At 41.1% G+C, this 14,589-nt stretch overlaps 1 protein-coding gene across 3 annotated transcripts in view, besides 3 other annotated features; it reads right to left on the bottom strand.

Moving 5' to 3' along the window:
* Positions 1,363–14,589, bottom strand: part of AQP9 (aquaporin 9) — a 47,743-nt gene continuing 34,516 nt past the window's right edge. For 2 of the 3 annotated variants that reach the window (NM_001320636.1, NM_020980.5), the window contains exons 3-6: positions 14,069–14,206; positions 12,238–12,356; positions 7,929–8,146; positions 1,363–3,313 (exon numbers count right to left, since the gene is read on the bottom strand). In NM_001320636.1, coding sequence (NP_001307565.1) covers positions 3,139–3,313; positions 7,929–8,146; positions 12,238–12,356; positions 14,069–14,206 — 650 coding nt within the window. In that variant the 3' untranslated portion in view covers positions 1,363–3,138. The remainder of the gene's footprint in view (positions 3,314–7,928; positions 8,147–12,237; positions 12,357–14,068; positions 14,207–14,589) is intronic. The other variant, NM_001320635.2, reaches the window with a different exon arrangement.
* Positions 1,470–1,764: a silencer, noted in NCBI's record as "tiled region #13480; HepG2 Repressive non-DNase unmatched - State 13:Ctcf, and K562 Repressive DNase matched - State 13:Ctcf". NCBI's record gives its function as "represses a minimal TATA promoter and a strong SV40 promoter by Sharpr-MPRA in HepG2 and K562 cells {active_cell/tissue: HepG2 | K562}" and the evidence as "EXISTENCE:reporter gene assay evidence [ECO:0000049][PMID:27701403]".
* Positions 1,470–1,824: a biological region, named in NCBI's record as "Sharpr-MPRA regulatory regions 15447 and 13480".
* Positions 1,530–1,824: a silencer, noted in NCBI's record as "tiled region #15447; HepG2 Repressive non-DNase unmatched - State 13:Ctcf". NCBI's record gives its function as "represses a minimal TATA promoter and a strong SV40 promoter by Sharpr-MPRA in HepG2 cells {active_cell/tissue: HepG2}" and the evidence as "EXISTENCE:reporter gene assay evidence [ECO:0000049][PMID:27701403]".

Below are 14,589 nucleotides of genomic sequence, written 5' to 3'. Positions count from 1 at the left end.
CGACAGGTTCTGTGGCTAAATAAAACTTATAAACCATTCTCTCTAACTGGAAGATGTATTTTTTTCCCATGACGATATTATTGAACATCAATATACCTTACAGTAAGACGTGTGTGTGTGTGTGTTTGTGTGTGTGTAAGCAATTTAAAGGAAATAATAATTTATATCCTAAGGATAACATTTTACGTATGACATTTTTATGTGGAGTATCCTGTTTAACAGCTGAATATTGACTGGTTGTTACTGGTTAGAAAAGCCCTGCAACCTTTGACATGCTCTGAGATCTCAACTGGTTAAAGAATCAGAGAAATTATATTTTTGGCATTAAGATAAATGCTTCTATCAAGTTTTTCGATTCATGAGGTGGAGGGAAGGAGGAATGTTACAATTCTAACTCTTAAAGCAACTATTTAAAAAATGGATAAGTTGGCTCTATCTAGTTGACTTTGGATACAGATAATTCAACCATATAAACATTCTCTTGGAAAATAACTCCACAAAGGTAAATCCACTTATTTGTAAATGGGGGTAGGGGTGGGGAGAGAATTTGAGTGTGAGCACCTGGAACAAAAGCACTTTTTTCCATTGAAAAAATTCTTCCTGGGGTTGATTTCCATAATGGTACATTTCCTGTTTATAAATCCTAGTCATCAATCATCAAATTGTGTTTAATGAGCACCTGTGTAGATCATAGATTCCACAGTTCATCCTCAAAACTCAAATTTTGAATTGCCTCTTGCTTTAAGAATTATAGTCCACCCCCAGGGTTTGTTCCTGGTTTGTCTGGCACCTTTGCTCCTGACTGAACTTGAATCAAGGTGCAGGATTTCAGTGTCTTCTCTTACTCCCCTCCCTACCTTTCCTCGACACCAAGATCTCCGAACCTCAGCATTATTGACATTTTGGGCCAAATAATTACCTGTTGGGAGGGTTGCCTTTGCATTGTAGGATATTTGGCAGCATCCCTGGCCTCTAGCCACTAGAGGCCATTAGCATCCCCTTCCCAGTTGTGATAACCATAAAAGTCTCCAAATATTGCCACATGTTCCCTTTAGAAGTAGGGAGGGAGGAAAACCATTGCTCTAATCCATGAGGATCCCAAGACTCTGGAATCCTGCTAGGAATTACCTGGCCACTACTGGACATGGTCAAAGAAACTTTAGACCCGTGTGATTTACCCAAGTCAATGTTCTCAACCCTTGCTGCATTTTAGAATCACCTGAGATGTTTACAAAGGACCAACTGGGCACCAGTATTTTTTCAAAAGTTCCCCCAGGAAATTCAAATTTGTAGACACAATAGACAACCTCTGAACTAGACGTACTTAGTAATCTTAATACTTATAAAAACCAACCAAGCAACCAACAATGACCGAACAATTTTATTTCAAATAGGAAATATCCAGGTAGCTTCAAAGCAAGAAAAAAAAATCCCGTATGTCCATAGATTGTAGAACATAAGTCATCAGAAACATTTCACATTTAATTTCTGCTGTTCTGATATCAGCACAAAGCAGTTGGGAAACCTAATGCCTTTGGGAATTCTGGGCTTTTTGACAGTTTGACTGAAGGTGCATCCCTTGATGTAGAGCATCCCCTGGTGCTTGTAACTCATAGGCGATCTTTTGTCAAAAGTAACATCTATTAGAGAACTTCAAGGGGAAAAGACTGAGCCAGAGGAAATCCCCTGAATGTAATGTTTGGTGCTGGCAGGAAGCAAGATCAAGACTTAGCAAGACCAGAGGTGGCTTAGGAAGGGAGGCCTTCTCATAATGTTTTTCAGCAAATGAAAGTTATGATTAAATTGCTACCACTTTCCTTCATCTGTACTCAGTAAGTGTGGGAATAGACCCAGACAATGAGGGTCTTTGTATCTTAAGATTGAGGAACATTTTGTCCAGAGGTGTACATATTCTAGAAGCTGCCAATTCCACTTCTGGCTAGCAAGGAAGATTTGGCAAAGATTGTCAGCCAGCTACTGATCTTCTGAAAGGTAGAGGAATGCATTAGATAACATTCAACTTTCAGTGTGCTCTTGGACAACTCAACTTATCTTCCCTAAGATTTTGTTTCTTTATCTGAAAAATGGGCAATGTGGCATTTGCCTCACATAGTCATTATGAGGATTAAATTAGATAATGGGTGTGAAAGTGCCTTGTGAATTGTTAAGCCCAATAAGGTAATATCTTTTTGGAGACCTCCCACTCTGAAGATTCAGCTAGACCAGGATCCAGTGGCTTTCAGTTTTGGCTTCTAGGGCATGTGTAAAATAATGGACAAGCACAGTCGTTGATATAACTTGTCAAATGTCTGTTCTCAAGTGGGCAATTAGGAAAATACATTTGAGCTAAAAAGACAGAGTGATGTATTTTTCATGACTGAGGTTACAATGGTATTTTAGGTTATTATATACTAAAGACCAGGAAATTAATTGGTGTCCTCTAAAATGCAGGAGAGCAAGAGATTAATCTGATAAATGGTTTCCATTAAAAATTCCATTTGGCTTCTCAAATTCATCTTGTCTCCTGCAGTTTCTGAATGCCACAATGTCCTCCCCTTGTGCCTTCCAGCTGCATTCTCTTGCTCCCTACACCACTAGGTTTGGAGAATATCAGTATTTATACAAATCCAGTAGCATAGCGGGAACTGGAAGCTTAACCCATTAGCTCCCTAATTCATGAATATGTTGACTGAAACCATAGTTTTGTCTTTCAATTTAGGGTTTGGTTGGTACTCAGAATGTAATCTTTGTCGATACTGAAGAAAAGGGTTTTGGTGACACCATTTCATACAGATAGTGCAGCTGAAACCACCCAAATGGGACTATCGTCAAGATGCCGAGTTATTAGTGCTTACCTAGCAAGAATTCCCATCGAGGATGAAATAAACAGGGCAGGAGAGAAGGCTGTTTCAGGGGACAGTCAGCGTTATTCTGGGGGGTGGGGGTGGGGGACAATGGTAGAGAAGTGGTCATTGTTTCCAAACTTTTATGCAGATGCTTTTCCAATTAGATGTCCCATATGGCTAGCAGACAAAACTGGGTGGATTCCACCTCAGGCTTACAAGAACACAGACACTTAGATGCCATCTTTCTGAAGAGAATCCCAAACTGACTGCAAATCCAGAGCTGAGCATGCCACTACATGATGACACTGAGTTCATATTTCTCTGGTTTGTCCTCAGATTGTTCTGTCTTAAAGACTGAGTCAGGCTCTGGATGGTGGATTTCAATGACAAGAACATAGATGAGGCCTCCAATGACAGCACCAACCAAAGGGCCCACTACAGGAATCCACCAGAAGTTGTTTCCAGCTCTGAAATCAAACAAGAAATTAGTGATACATTTCTTGGCCTTCCTCCTGGTATTACTGTCTAGTTTTTCACTCACTTGTTAGTCTTTCTCACACTCATGGTTCCCTCTTAACTCAGCAAGAGCTAAGTATAAGGGGGGCTCAGTGCAGCATGGCAACTGCCATCCTTGACTTTCCACTACACCTGATTTCAGATGATCTATTTAATTGTCCTACTAATATTTGTGAGATATTATGTCTTATTTATTTTCTTTTTATAAAATATAGTGCCTGAGCCCATCGTTAAGATTGAGGGCCCCTAAGAAAGTTCAGGTCAATTATTCAGAATTGCCTTTCCCTCATCCTGAAATAATGATTCCTGTGGATTACAAGCAGAATGTGGAGAGATTCCTGGGCATCATTAGTGTATGAGGACAATCAAACTAATCAATCAGGAAATGTTTTTCAATGAATGAATGAATTTTTAAAAAATCTAAGGTGGATGTGTGAATTGCCTTCTAAATATAATTTAAATCAGTACTTATTTTTTAAGATCTTAGCTTGAGGCTACCCTCTGATAAGGCTGTCATGCCATGGCTCTCTCTCTTCCAGAAATCCTCAATGTTAGTACATTACAGCAAAGCTATAGTTCTGGGGAAAAGCAGGTATCTTTGTGAGTTGTCACCATCTTCTTTGGAGAGAGAAAATCCATGTAAATAATTTCTTAGAAAGGATCAGGAAAGCAAACAAATTATACAGTATATTGTTTAAGGATATATACATTTAAGATAAAAGTATTTTTAAAAAGCAGGGGAATGGAAAACACAAAACTTCAGGATAAATGCAGAGGGGATGGGAGACAAGAGGAGTACCCAGAGGCATGTAAGAATTTCAGTGTTCTAGTTGGATTCTAGAAGGACCCATAGCTTTTCTTTTCATCATTATGCTGAATAACTACACATATGTTCCATGTGGCCTTTTGTATATCTCAAACTTTGATTAGAAAGAACGATAAAGGAAATAAGCAGGACACAAGAACCCTGTCCTAGAATCCAGGAAACTAAGTCTAATCTCAAGATTATCTAGAAGGTCTTTGAGCAAATCAAACCCCCATTCCCCATCGTGAGCTCCATTTCCTTCATCTGCATGGTCCCTTCCACCTGGGGCACCTAAGTGGTCTCCGAAGTCCTCCATTGCCCTTGCAGGGTTGATGGAAGAGCACTGAGCCTGAGCATGGCAGCCACCAGATGTCACTCTTACCACACGGCAGCGAGGATGCTGTACTCGGCCGCCCTCACAGTGCCCTTCCCCAGGCCCCAAATCCAGATGGATTTTTCTAGGGGAGGCACATGGAGGGTGGCTGCCTCTCCCGTTTGGCTGTAAAGACTTGAAGTCTTCTCTAGAGGTCAAAACATGAAGGGAGTATAAGCTACCTGTTGGGTCCATCATTTCCTTTTATGGCAAATTTCTTCCTGTCATTTAGCAGATGAAGGTCCAAGATATCAGCCAGGGTACACGTCCTCTTCACTGGCTGGATGCTTTTTATTTTATCAGATTGGACATGTTGTATCAGGTTCACAAGTCACAAATGGAGGCGCTCAGATGTGGTTACCTGCCTAGCCTAGTCCTATATGCACACAAATAGTGATCATTTGCACACTATGATTCGGGAGATGCCAGGAACATGTGTATGTTAACTGTCTAAAGGACCATCTTTAGGGATTCAATACTTTGGGCCAACTATTTGAAAAATTTAATAATACTCCTGAGAGCTTTCACTGATTAAGTCATTAACAATGTGAATAAGTGGAGAGAAATTTGATGGGAAACATCTTAACATTTAAAGGAAAAACCAAGAGTCTTTGGCCAGGGTCTGTTGACTCTTGCCCTCATCAAACCCTCTGGCATCTCGCTGTACCTGCCATCATTCCACTGCTTGCCGTTCAGGAGTACATGGGGACCTGGGAACAAGGTAGCCTTGTTTTTTTTCTAAGACCTTAGGTGTAGGTCCAAGCTAGGATATCTACTGAGGGATTTCCCTTGAATATAGAACTCTGAGGAAATGAGACACTCTAAGAACACTTTGGAAGCCTGTTGTCCCTCAAAGGTTTTGGGGAGAAATTTTTGGTTGAGGATTACCAGCCAACCCTGCTCTTTCCTAATGGGTTTCTACTTCCCCACTCTCTCCTTTTTCAATCAGTCTTATAGGATGATGCCAGATTAATTTTGCTAAATTGACATTCTAAACCTGCCAAACTTCTGCCCCAAATACTTTGCTACTCCCTATAACCTACAAAACAGGGAGCAGAAGAAAAGCCAAAATTCTCATTCTGGGAGTCCAGGTCCTCTATGATCTGACAACGGCCCTTTCCAACTTTCTTTCTGCACCCTTCCAGCTAGACTAGATCACTTGTGATTTTAACATTGTGTCTTTGAATAACGGTTCTCTCTGCCTGAGATAACCCCTCTGTTGCTTGTTTAAGCATATCCAAATACTATAAATGTTCCCACTTCCACTCCCATAATTCTTAAATTTGGAGCTGTAGACCTCTAAACTCCTGGAGTTAATTAGTCAAATCTCTTTAATGGCACTTGACTGCTTCAACCTTGTGTAAGAGCTTCTGGAATAACCTCTTAAGTAGAATATAAACACAACAGTGAAGGACAGAAACTAGGTCTTATCATCTTTAGTGGAGAGCCTTGAGTAAGATATCAAGTAGCTGCATGAATGAATAAATGACTCCATGGAAGGGAAAAGATCCTGATGCTAGCTAAGGACATGGGACATTAGGTGATTCCAACATTTTCCTTCACGTGAGTTCTCCTAACATATACTTAACAGAGCAAAGGGACATTGGGCAAGATCTCCATCTGTTTTGGAACCACCATGTCTCTTTGACTTTTGAATGAATCACCAAGGAGGTCTCAAAGGGGGTGGAAGAAGAGCTTGGTCTCCAAGACTGAGACTCTGGATGGTGGAATTAAGGGAAACTCATGGGCGAATTCTGGGCTCTGGGAATAAGGAGATCCTTAGGACATATGTTTTTGATGCTCCATTGGAAAGATACAAGAGATCCATCCTAGTTGCGGACATTTTCGTGTTCTAGTTGTGATCATTCTAGGAGAGAATTTCTCAACCACAAACCTATTAACATTTTGGACTGAATAATTCTTTGTTGTGGGAGGTGTGCCGTGTGCATTGTAGGATGCTTAACAGCATTCCTGGCGTCTACCCATTAGATGCCAGTAGCAGCCCCTTCCCTCAGGTCCAGCCGTGACAACCAAAAATGCCCTGGGGAACAGTTGCCCACCTCTGGTTGAGAACTGCTGTTCTAGGAAATTTATTGGATTGTCAATTTCTTGAGGACAGGGAATGTTGACTGAGTTGCTTTGCATCCTTCAACTCCTAGGAAGTGTCCGTCACATAGAATTCATTCATTCTTTTATTCAATACCTTTTTATTGAGCCTTTCTATGAGCTACACCCTGTTCTAGGCACTGTGGATATACCAGGGGAAAAGGCTGTCAAGGTACTCATGGCACTTACACTCTAGATGCTCTGAGTGCTATCTGTGGTGGTGATCTCAATGGTACCAGTTATTTTAACTTATTTTTCACCCTGGTGAAATGCAGGCCAAACCCTGATGACTCTATGTCTAGGTCATCATTTGGGAACACTCACGTCCTTTGTTCTCACAGGAAACATTAAAGTAGAATTTGCTCACACATGTTTTTCCTACTTTTCTCCATGGTAGAGCCCTGTTTCCTGATGAACCAAAGTGAGCTCCTTCCCCATAGGAAGTTGCCATGGGTGGATGAGGATGCGCCTCTGTGACTGCATGCAGGGAAACCAGGAAGTAGTGAAGGGGCAAATTTTGTCCTAGAAGATAGGTACCAACAGTTGGCGTATTTCCTCAGCACATTCTGAAGTAGAAAGTGTGGAGTCTTGCCATTTCTGGGGCAGAGGCTCAATCTTACGTCTGTCCTGTCCGGAAGTTCTTACTCATATCTCCAGAACCAAGTCAGCTCTCACATTTGCAGTCATGTCTTTCCCTGCTTCCCTGGCAGTTACTCACACGTTATCTGTGTTCCTGCAGCACTTTTAGGGGTTGCCAGAGCACTTATTATATCGCTCAAGGTGAGTGCTTTTGCTGATTTGAAATTTCCTTGCTTAGCACAGTGACTAAAGCACAGATAATGCCCAACAAATATCTGTGGAATAAGTGCAGCATAGGTTGCGTGGTTCACGAGGAAGAGCCCTGTAGTGGCATCATAGGATGCAAATTGTAGCCCAACTTTGTCACAAAATGAATCTGCAGACAAGTTATACAGCTAAAATGTTCACATAAAATCATATAGCAATTGAGGGATTATTATTATGTGGGACAGTTTTATCTCTATTGAATTTACCTAGAGCCGCCTCTCTTTCTCTGTCTCTCTCTCTCTTTCACACACACACACACACACACACACACATCATACCACAAAATACCAGTGAAATGTCTCATGCTTATGACCAGAGTGTGCAGTTAACGTTGGCGCTGTCATCTGAACTTCCCTGGATCTCCATGTCAAAGCCCCGCCCCACTGGTGAGGCGCAGCATGACTCTGTCTCTCTCTTCCCCACCACTGTTACTTACCTGAAGACTTCAAACCCCCAGCCTGCCAAGGCAGTGAAAAGTCTGGGACTCAGGTCTCGAGCTGGGTTCATGGCACAGCCACTGTTCAGTCCCAGGGAGGAAGCAATGACAATAATCAGGAGGCCGATGGCAATGGGCTCTAGGCCTCTGGGGGCTCCCAAGTTTCTGGAGTCAAAGATGGCAAAGACGATTATGAGGAGTATCATGGTGGCCACCACCTGGAGAGGGAGAAGTTGAGCCAGGGCTTTAGCCTGCATTCTGCTCACCTGCATGTCTCAAAATCATCCCTTCTTACTATTTTACAATATTACAATATTACTATTTTACTTATATTACAATATGCCTAGTAATAACTGGCATGTACTGGGTGAATAATTGTGCCAGTCTCTCTTCTTTCTACAGCAATTCTAGAGGAGAAGCCAATATAATTCTCATTTACAGATTGGTTACCCTGCCCACTTAGTAGGTGGCAGTCAGGTTTGGATCCAGAGAGTTTGGCTCCAGAGACTGTTATCTTAATACCACACTATCCTGCTAAGCTACTACTCAGCTAAGTAGAACGGCAAGCTGCAGGCTGGAAAAATGAATGAAAGGCTTGTTCAAATTGGTGAGAAAAGCAATGTGAGATATCAATAGATGAGTGTGCAAAGGAAGTGAACAGAAAATTCAAAAAAGGAAAACAGAATTAGGAAAGCAGTGGTAAAAACTCATTAGTAATAAAATAAATCCAAACAATATCAAATGTTAGGAAAAAGATACCCGTTATTTCAGGCTTTTCTAATAGATCTAAACAAGTACTATGCTTTTAAAAGGAAATTCAGCAATAATTTAGCAATATGCATTCAAAAACATAAATTTATTTATACAATTTGATGCTGCTGGATGTTTGAGAATTACACAATGGAAATAATCTAAAACGTGGAAAAATCATTTTAAAATGTCCACTTTAGCAAAATTTATAGTACTGAAAAACTGGAAGCTTTTACTCTTTTTTTAGTCTACTGTATAGCCATTAAAAACTATAAACATAAAAGCTATGTAGTAATATTTAAAAATACTTATAACATTAAGTGAAAAAAATTTGTATTTTTTTGTTTGTGTTTGTGTTTTGTTTTGTGTTTTATACAGCTGTCCCTTGGTGTCTGTGGGGGATTGGTTCCAGGACTTCCTGCAAGTACCAAAAATCCATGGATGTTCAAGTCCCCAATATAAAATTGTGTATTATTTGTATATAACCTATGCACATCCTCCTGTATACTTTAAATCATCTCTAGATTATTATAATATCTGATATAATGTGAATACGGTATTGTTTAGGGAATAATGACAAGAAAAAAGTCTGTACATGTCCAATACAAATGCAATTTAAAAATATTTTTGATCCATGGTTGGTTGAATCCATGGATGCAGAATTCATGGATATGTAGGGTTGACTCTACTTAAAAACATACGTAAAAGAAAAATTTTAAGACAATAAACAAAAATGATAATAGGTATTTGAATTGGCCAATTATAGCTGGTTTCTATGTTATTAGTTTTCCAAACTACTGTTTTACTTTAACAGTTAAATGATAGCTATTATTTATTGAACATTTATTATGTGCCAGGTACTTCATATGCTTTATCTCATTAAAACTTCACAGTAATGCTGTGAGGTAAATCCTGCTATTATTCTCAGTTTATAGATAAGAAAACTCGAGTAAAACAAGGTTAAGACACTTGTCCAATGTCAAACTTGTAAGCAGAAGAATCAGGATGGGAACCAGGCAACTGATTTTAAAGTTTAAGTTCATTATCATTTCATCTGCTTTCCAAAATAATAATGTTAAAATAATTTTTAATTAATATTAAAAGACACATGTTCCCCCAAGAGCACTCTTCTCTGGAATGCCTTCTCCAACTCTCTCTTGCAGAGTAAAAGCTCCCTCCTCTGGGCTTCCATGACATTCTGACTTTACTTGTATCAGTGTCCCTGTCACTCTGCAAAAGAGTATCTACTTACTTGTTAGATTGAGCCTCAGACTCTGAACTCCTTGAAGAAGGAAGAGTATAGAGCTGTACTTGGCTAAGTAGGTGCCCAGTAAATAGTTATTGGGTAAATAAATGATTGATTATTAACTAAACCAAGGAATATGCTTGAAGAGTATTTACAGCTAAACAATTTAGTAATCTTGAAATAAGGTGACCCCAAAATATGGTCATGATGGCCAAGAGCTCTGTTGGGTGTTGACTGACTGATAATTGGCAATTTTTGGAACTCTCTCCAAAGCCTAAGAATACGGACAGCATTCAGGGTTTGCTGACGGTTACAGCCTCAGGGTTTTCTAATATTCGCTTTTTCTACTTGACTTTATACACAATAATGGGCTTAGAAACCACAGACCTTAGAGAAATTGCCAACTCACTCTGAGACAAGGACACAATGAAGGAAGCTCAGGATATGGTATGCAGGTCAGCATTGATCAAGATACAGCTTTGGGAGGCTTAGGCAGGCGGATTATGAGGTCAGGAGTTCGAGACCAGTCTGGCCAACATGGTGAAACCCCGTCTCTACTAAAAATACAAAAATTAGCCAGGAGTGGTGGCTCACACTGGGAATCCTAGCTACTCCAAAGGCTGAGGCAGGAGAATTGCTTGAACCTGGGAGGTGGAGGTTGCAGTGAGCTGAGATCACGCCACTGCACTCCAGCCTGGGGCAACAGGCTCAGTCTTAAAAAAAAAAAAAAAAAGCTTAGAGAAAAACACCAAAATAACCAAAATTGTCCTCGCTCTTCTATGCTCTCTGCTTCAAATTTCTATTATAATATGGTCGCTATACTCCAGTTTCCTATCTAATTTTCTTCTTTTTTGCCCAGGCTGAGGTGTGGTGGTGTAATCATAGCTCACTGCAGCCTCCAACTCCTGGGTGCAAGCTATCCTCCCACCTCAGCCTCCCAAGTTGCTGGGACTACATGCAAGCACCACCACGCATGGCTAATTTTTGTATTTTTGGTAGAGGCAGGGTTTTGCCATGTTGCCCAGGCTGGTAGTGAACTCCTGGGCTCAAGTGACCTGTCCACCTTGGCCTCCCAAAATGCAGGGAGTAAGATGTGAACCACCGTGCCCAGCTCTGTCTAATTATATCTTATTTTGCATTGTTTCCTTGTTCAATGCTCTTCAACTAGATTCAAAATTTCTGGGCAGATACTGCTTACAATGCGTTTTTCTCATATTATTCTTTTTATCCTCATAAGTAACTTCATGAAGGCTCATATTATCCCCATTTTACAAGTGAATAACTTGCGACCCAAAAAGTTCAGTACTTTGCTGAAGCCACGCAGGAAGTTGGAGGCAGAACAGCTATTTTAATTCAAGCATTCAGACTCTGCATCTTGGATCTTTACAACTCACATTTACTCGTCAGTCTTTCAAGCTCCAGACAAAGGGCCAAGCACATAGTGAGTTTTTAATGAACACTTGTTGCCTGTTTGATTTATTGATGAAAGTGGAAAGTAAAAAAGCTGAGGACATGAGGGCATAGTTTTTCATCCATACATTGAATGGAGGTGGGCATAGCTGATGAACTGGAAGATCCATTTTATACACATGCCCATTCTGATCTGCTCCACTGTATAAGTCCTGATCATAGAGGAAGAACTTAGAGATACTGAAAAATATAGCCTTCCTTCCACTGCCCTGACCAAGATAACCAGCAGCCTTCTTGGGACACAGTAAGGGAAGAAGAGTCTTTTGAGTTGACAATGTTAGTCCTGCCATAAGCTGACCAAATAGGTGTGCTATTGGTTACACCACAGTATGCTTGGGTGCTAGAAGCTTGTTTAAAGGTCAATAAGCAGAGATACTTCTAGCCACCTTGAGAGTTTAAATAAATAAACCTATGCACATGGTGAGACAGAGAGGATTGATGATCCCCTAGGCTCAACTACCACCCTTCACAGTCTTTGATTTGAAATAGAAATATCTTCTCTTGTGGCCTCCACACTTAGACCACTTGTTCAAAAGAGTCAATAGTGAAGTGAAGTCCATTTGTGTCTACAGGGATTGAAATGTTTAGTCATTCACTCTTTTCTGGATCTCAACTAATGTTAAACAAGTGTACGTATTAAAGAGGAAGGAGAAAACTTTTCTGGTGGTATCAGCTCCTTGTAAAGGTAAAACGATTATCAAGAAAGCTTGGGTTATGCCCAGCAACCTCTGCCTTTGGAAATATAATCTCTCCTTTCTGATTGGTCTCTAATTCTCCAATGCATTCCCCTTATGAGAGCATATCTTTTCACCAAAGTTAAGTCTTTGTTGAATCTACACTTACTTGATCTGCAAATGCGTTCGCCAGAGATAGATACGGAGCTGGGTATGTTGCAAAAATGTGTGCTGTTGCATTTTCTCCCACGATCAGCAGTTTTCCACCAGCAAAGGACATAAGTCCATCTATGAAAGAGAAAGCTCTGGCACATTAGTGTTCCCTGGGAAGAGTTGAAGGAGGCCTGTGCCAAGCCTTGTGCTAAACAACCAGTCACTCAGATTGAGCTTGGCATAGCCATGTCATTTGTCTCTCTCTACTTCCGAGGAATGATAGTTTTAGAGATGCCCAGGTGAATCCCAGGATGGAGGGTCAAAGGAAGAAGGCCTTTGGCCTCTCTGAATGGCCCACTGCAAACTTGGACAAATTATTCTTCGATAGGGTCCTGGGAATGAGTTCTCTTTTGGGGGAATTCTTGGAGTTTTCGAGGTCAACTGTAAGCCAAAGTGGGGCTTGGTCTTGCTCTAGGAATAATTTATAATTCCCAGAGGGCTCTCAGTAACCCCTAATACCACTCCAGAATTTGAGGGTGTTGCAGTATACTGAAGATGCCCTTAGAGCCAGGGGTATTGCAGCCACTGCCACAGCTAGCACTGACCCCAGGCCATTCTTGCCACAGCAGCGGGCTCTGAATTTCCTGTGTGTTCTTGAATTCCATTTTAGCCCTTTTAGACTCTAATTCTCAGAGAGACACTCTATGGGGAAAAGTCCCTTTCCATAACCTATTTCTTTTCCTTTTTTTTTTTCTTTTTTTTCTTCTTTGGAGACAGGGTCTTGCTCTGCTGCCCAGGCTGGAGTGCAATGGCATGATCCTGGCTCACTGCAGCCTTGATCTGGGCTGAAGCAATCCTCTTATCAGCCTCCTGAGTAGCTGGGACTACAGATGTGAGTTACCACACCTGGCTTATTTTTAATTTTTTTTTCTGAAGAGACGAGGTATCCCTATGTTGCCCAGGCTGGTCTTGAACTACTGGGCTCAAACGATCCTCCCACTTATGCCTCCCAAAGTGTTGGGATTACAGGCATGAGCCACCACACACCCAGCCCTCCATGACCCATTTCTATAAGGCCTGGTTCATAAATTCTACTTCCTAAGGTCTTCAGTTTGGGTAAGTCATAATGTATTAAGGCTTACCTTGGGTTAGAAGGAAGGAGCTGCTTTAACAGTTGATTTCATGGGAACACCAAGGTGTTTTAGTTTGAAAGGCCTCGAGAGTCATCTGATTCAATTCCCTCATTTTCCAGAGGAGGAAACTGAGGCTAGTCAGATCAGATGACTTATTTAAGTTGCACAGGTATTTACTGAACAGCTAGAGCTAAAGTCTGGTCTTCTATGACCAATACTGTGTTTTTCCCAAGGACTGTTGCAGAGTGGAAGCCCTGGCTGTTTGATAGAAGGGCAATGAGGCTCCCACCCAGCCCACATCTCTGCTGTGTCTCTTCCTTCAAAGACATCTTCCCAGAGTCCTTCTCTCAATACTTACTGGTCACACCTTTGTCACCAGAAAACACCTCTTTTCCCAGCCAAATCAGAGACAGCAGTGGGGAAGCCACTGGCCTACTGCTTGTTGTATGGATGTGTATGTTGCAGTGCTGGCTTGGCACAAAGACAGGCTTCCTTTAAGTTCTGCTCCCCATTTAAGATATGACCATTTTCATTAACAGGATTCACGAATTTGCTGGAATGGTAATATGGCCTCATTTTCTCAAATTTAGAACTTGCTGTCACTTGTAGAATGCTTCCCGTCCTTGCTTTTTCTCGCCTGTGCCTACCAAGTAATTCTGACTTTCAAATTATGCCCAGCTCTTCCTAACCTTAGGACTCAGGGACTTTACTCACCATAGTAAATGCCAAAGACGGTTGCAGCCCCCACAAAGGCTCCCAAGAACTGGGCTCCCACATAAAATGGCAATTTGAACCATTTCATCCGTCCAAAGAGACACATTGCTAAAGACACAGCTGGGTTGATGTGACCACCTGCAAGGGAAGATTGGAGAAGTGAGAGGGCAGGTTAGGAAGAAGAATATACAGAAAACCATCTAGAGACCTCAGGTGGAATTCAGTCTTCTAGGCAGAGAACTACTGCCTATGAGGAGAAAGAGGGGTGTGTATGCACGTGAAAGAGAGAGTGTGTATCTGAGCAGGGAGAGAAGGAGGAATGATCATTTTCATGGCATCCTTGGATAACAGTTTAGAATGTTTATCTTGATGAAAAGAGAGTCAGGTATAAAAAGAAACTTGATGTGCTCAAGTGGCTGTTTTTTTAATAGGCTTGAATCCCTCTATCTATAAAGCAGTCACCCCAAACAGACTGATGTAGCTATTAACTTCGATATCTTTTAAAAGTCAATATGCTTATC

This window comes from Homo sapiens, chromosome 15 (assembly GCF_000001405.40).
Source record: "Homo sapiens chromosome 15, GRCh38.p14 Primary Assembly".
Taxonomy (NCBI): Eukaryota; Metazoa; Chordata; class Mammalia; order Primates; family Hominidae; genus Homo; species Homo sapiens.
This window is presented reverse-complemented; position numbering and strand designations above follow the sequence as displayed.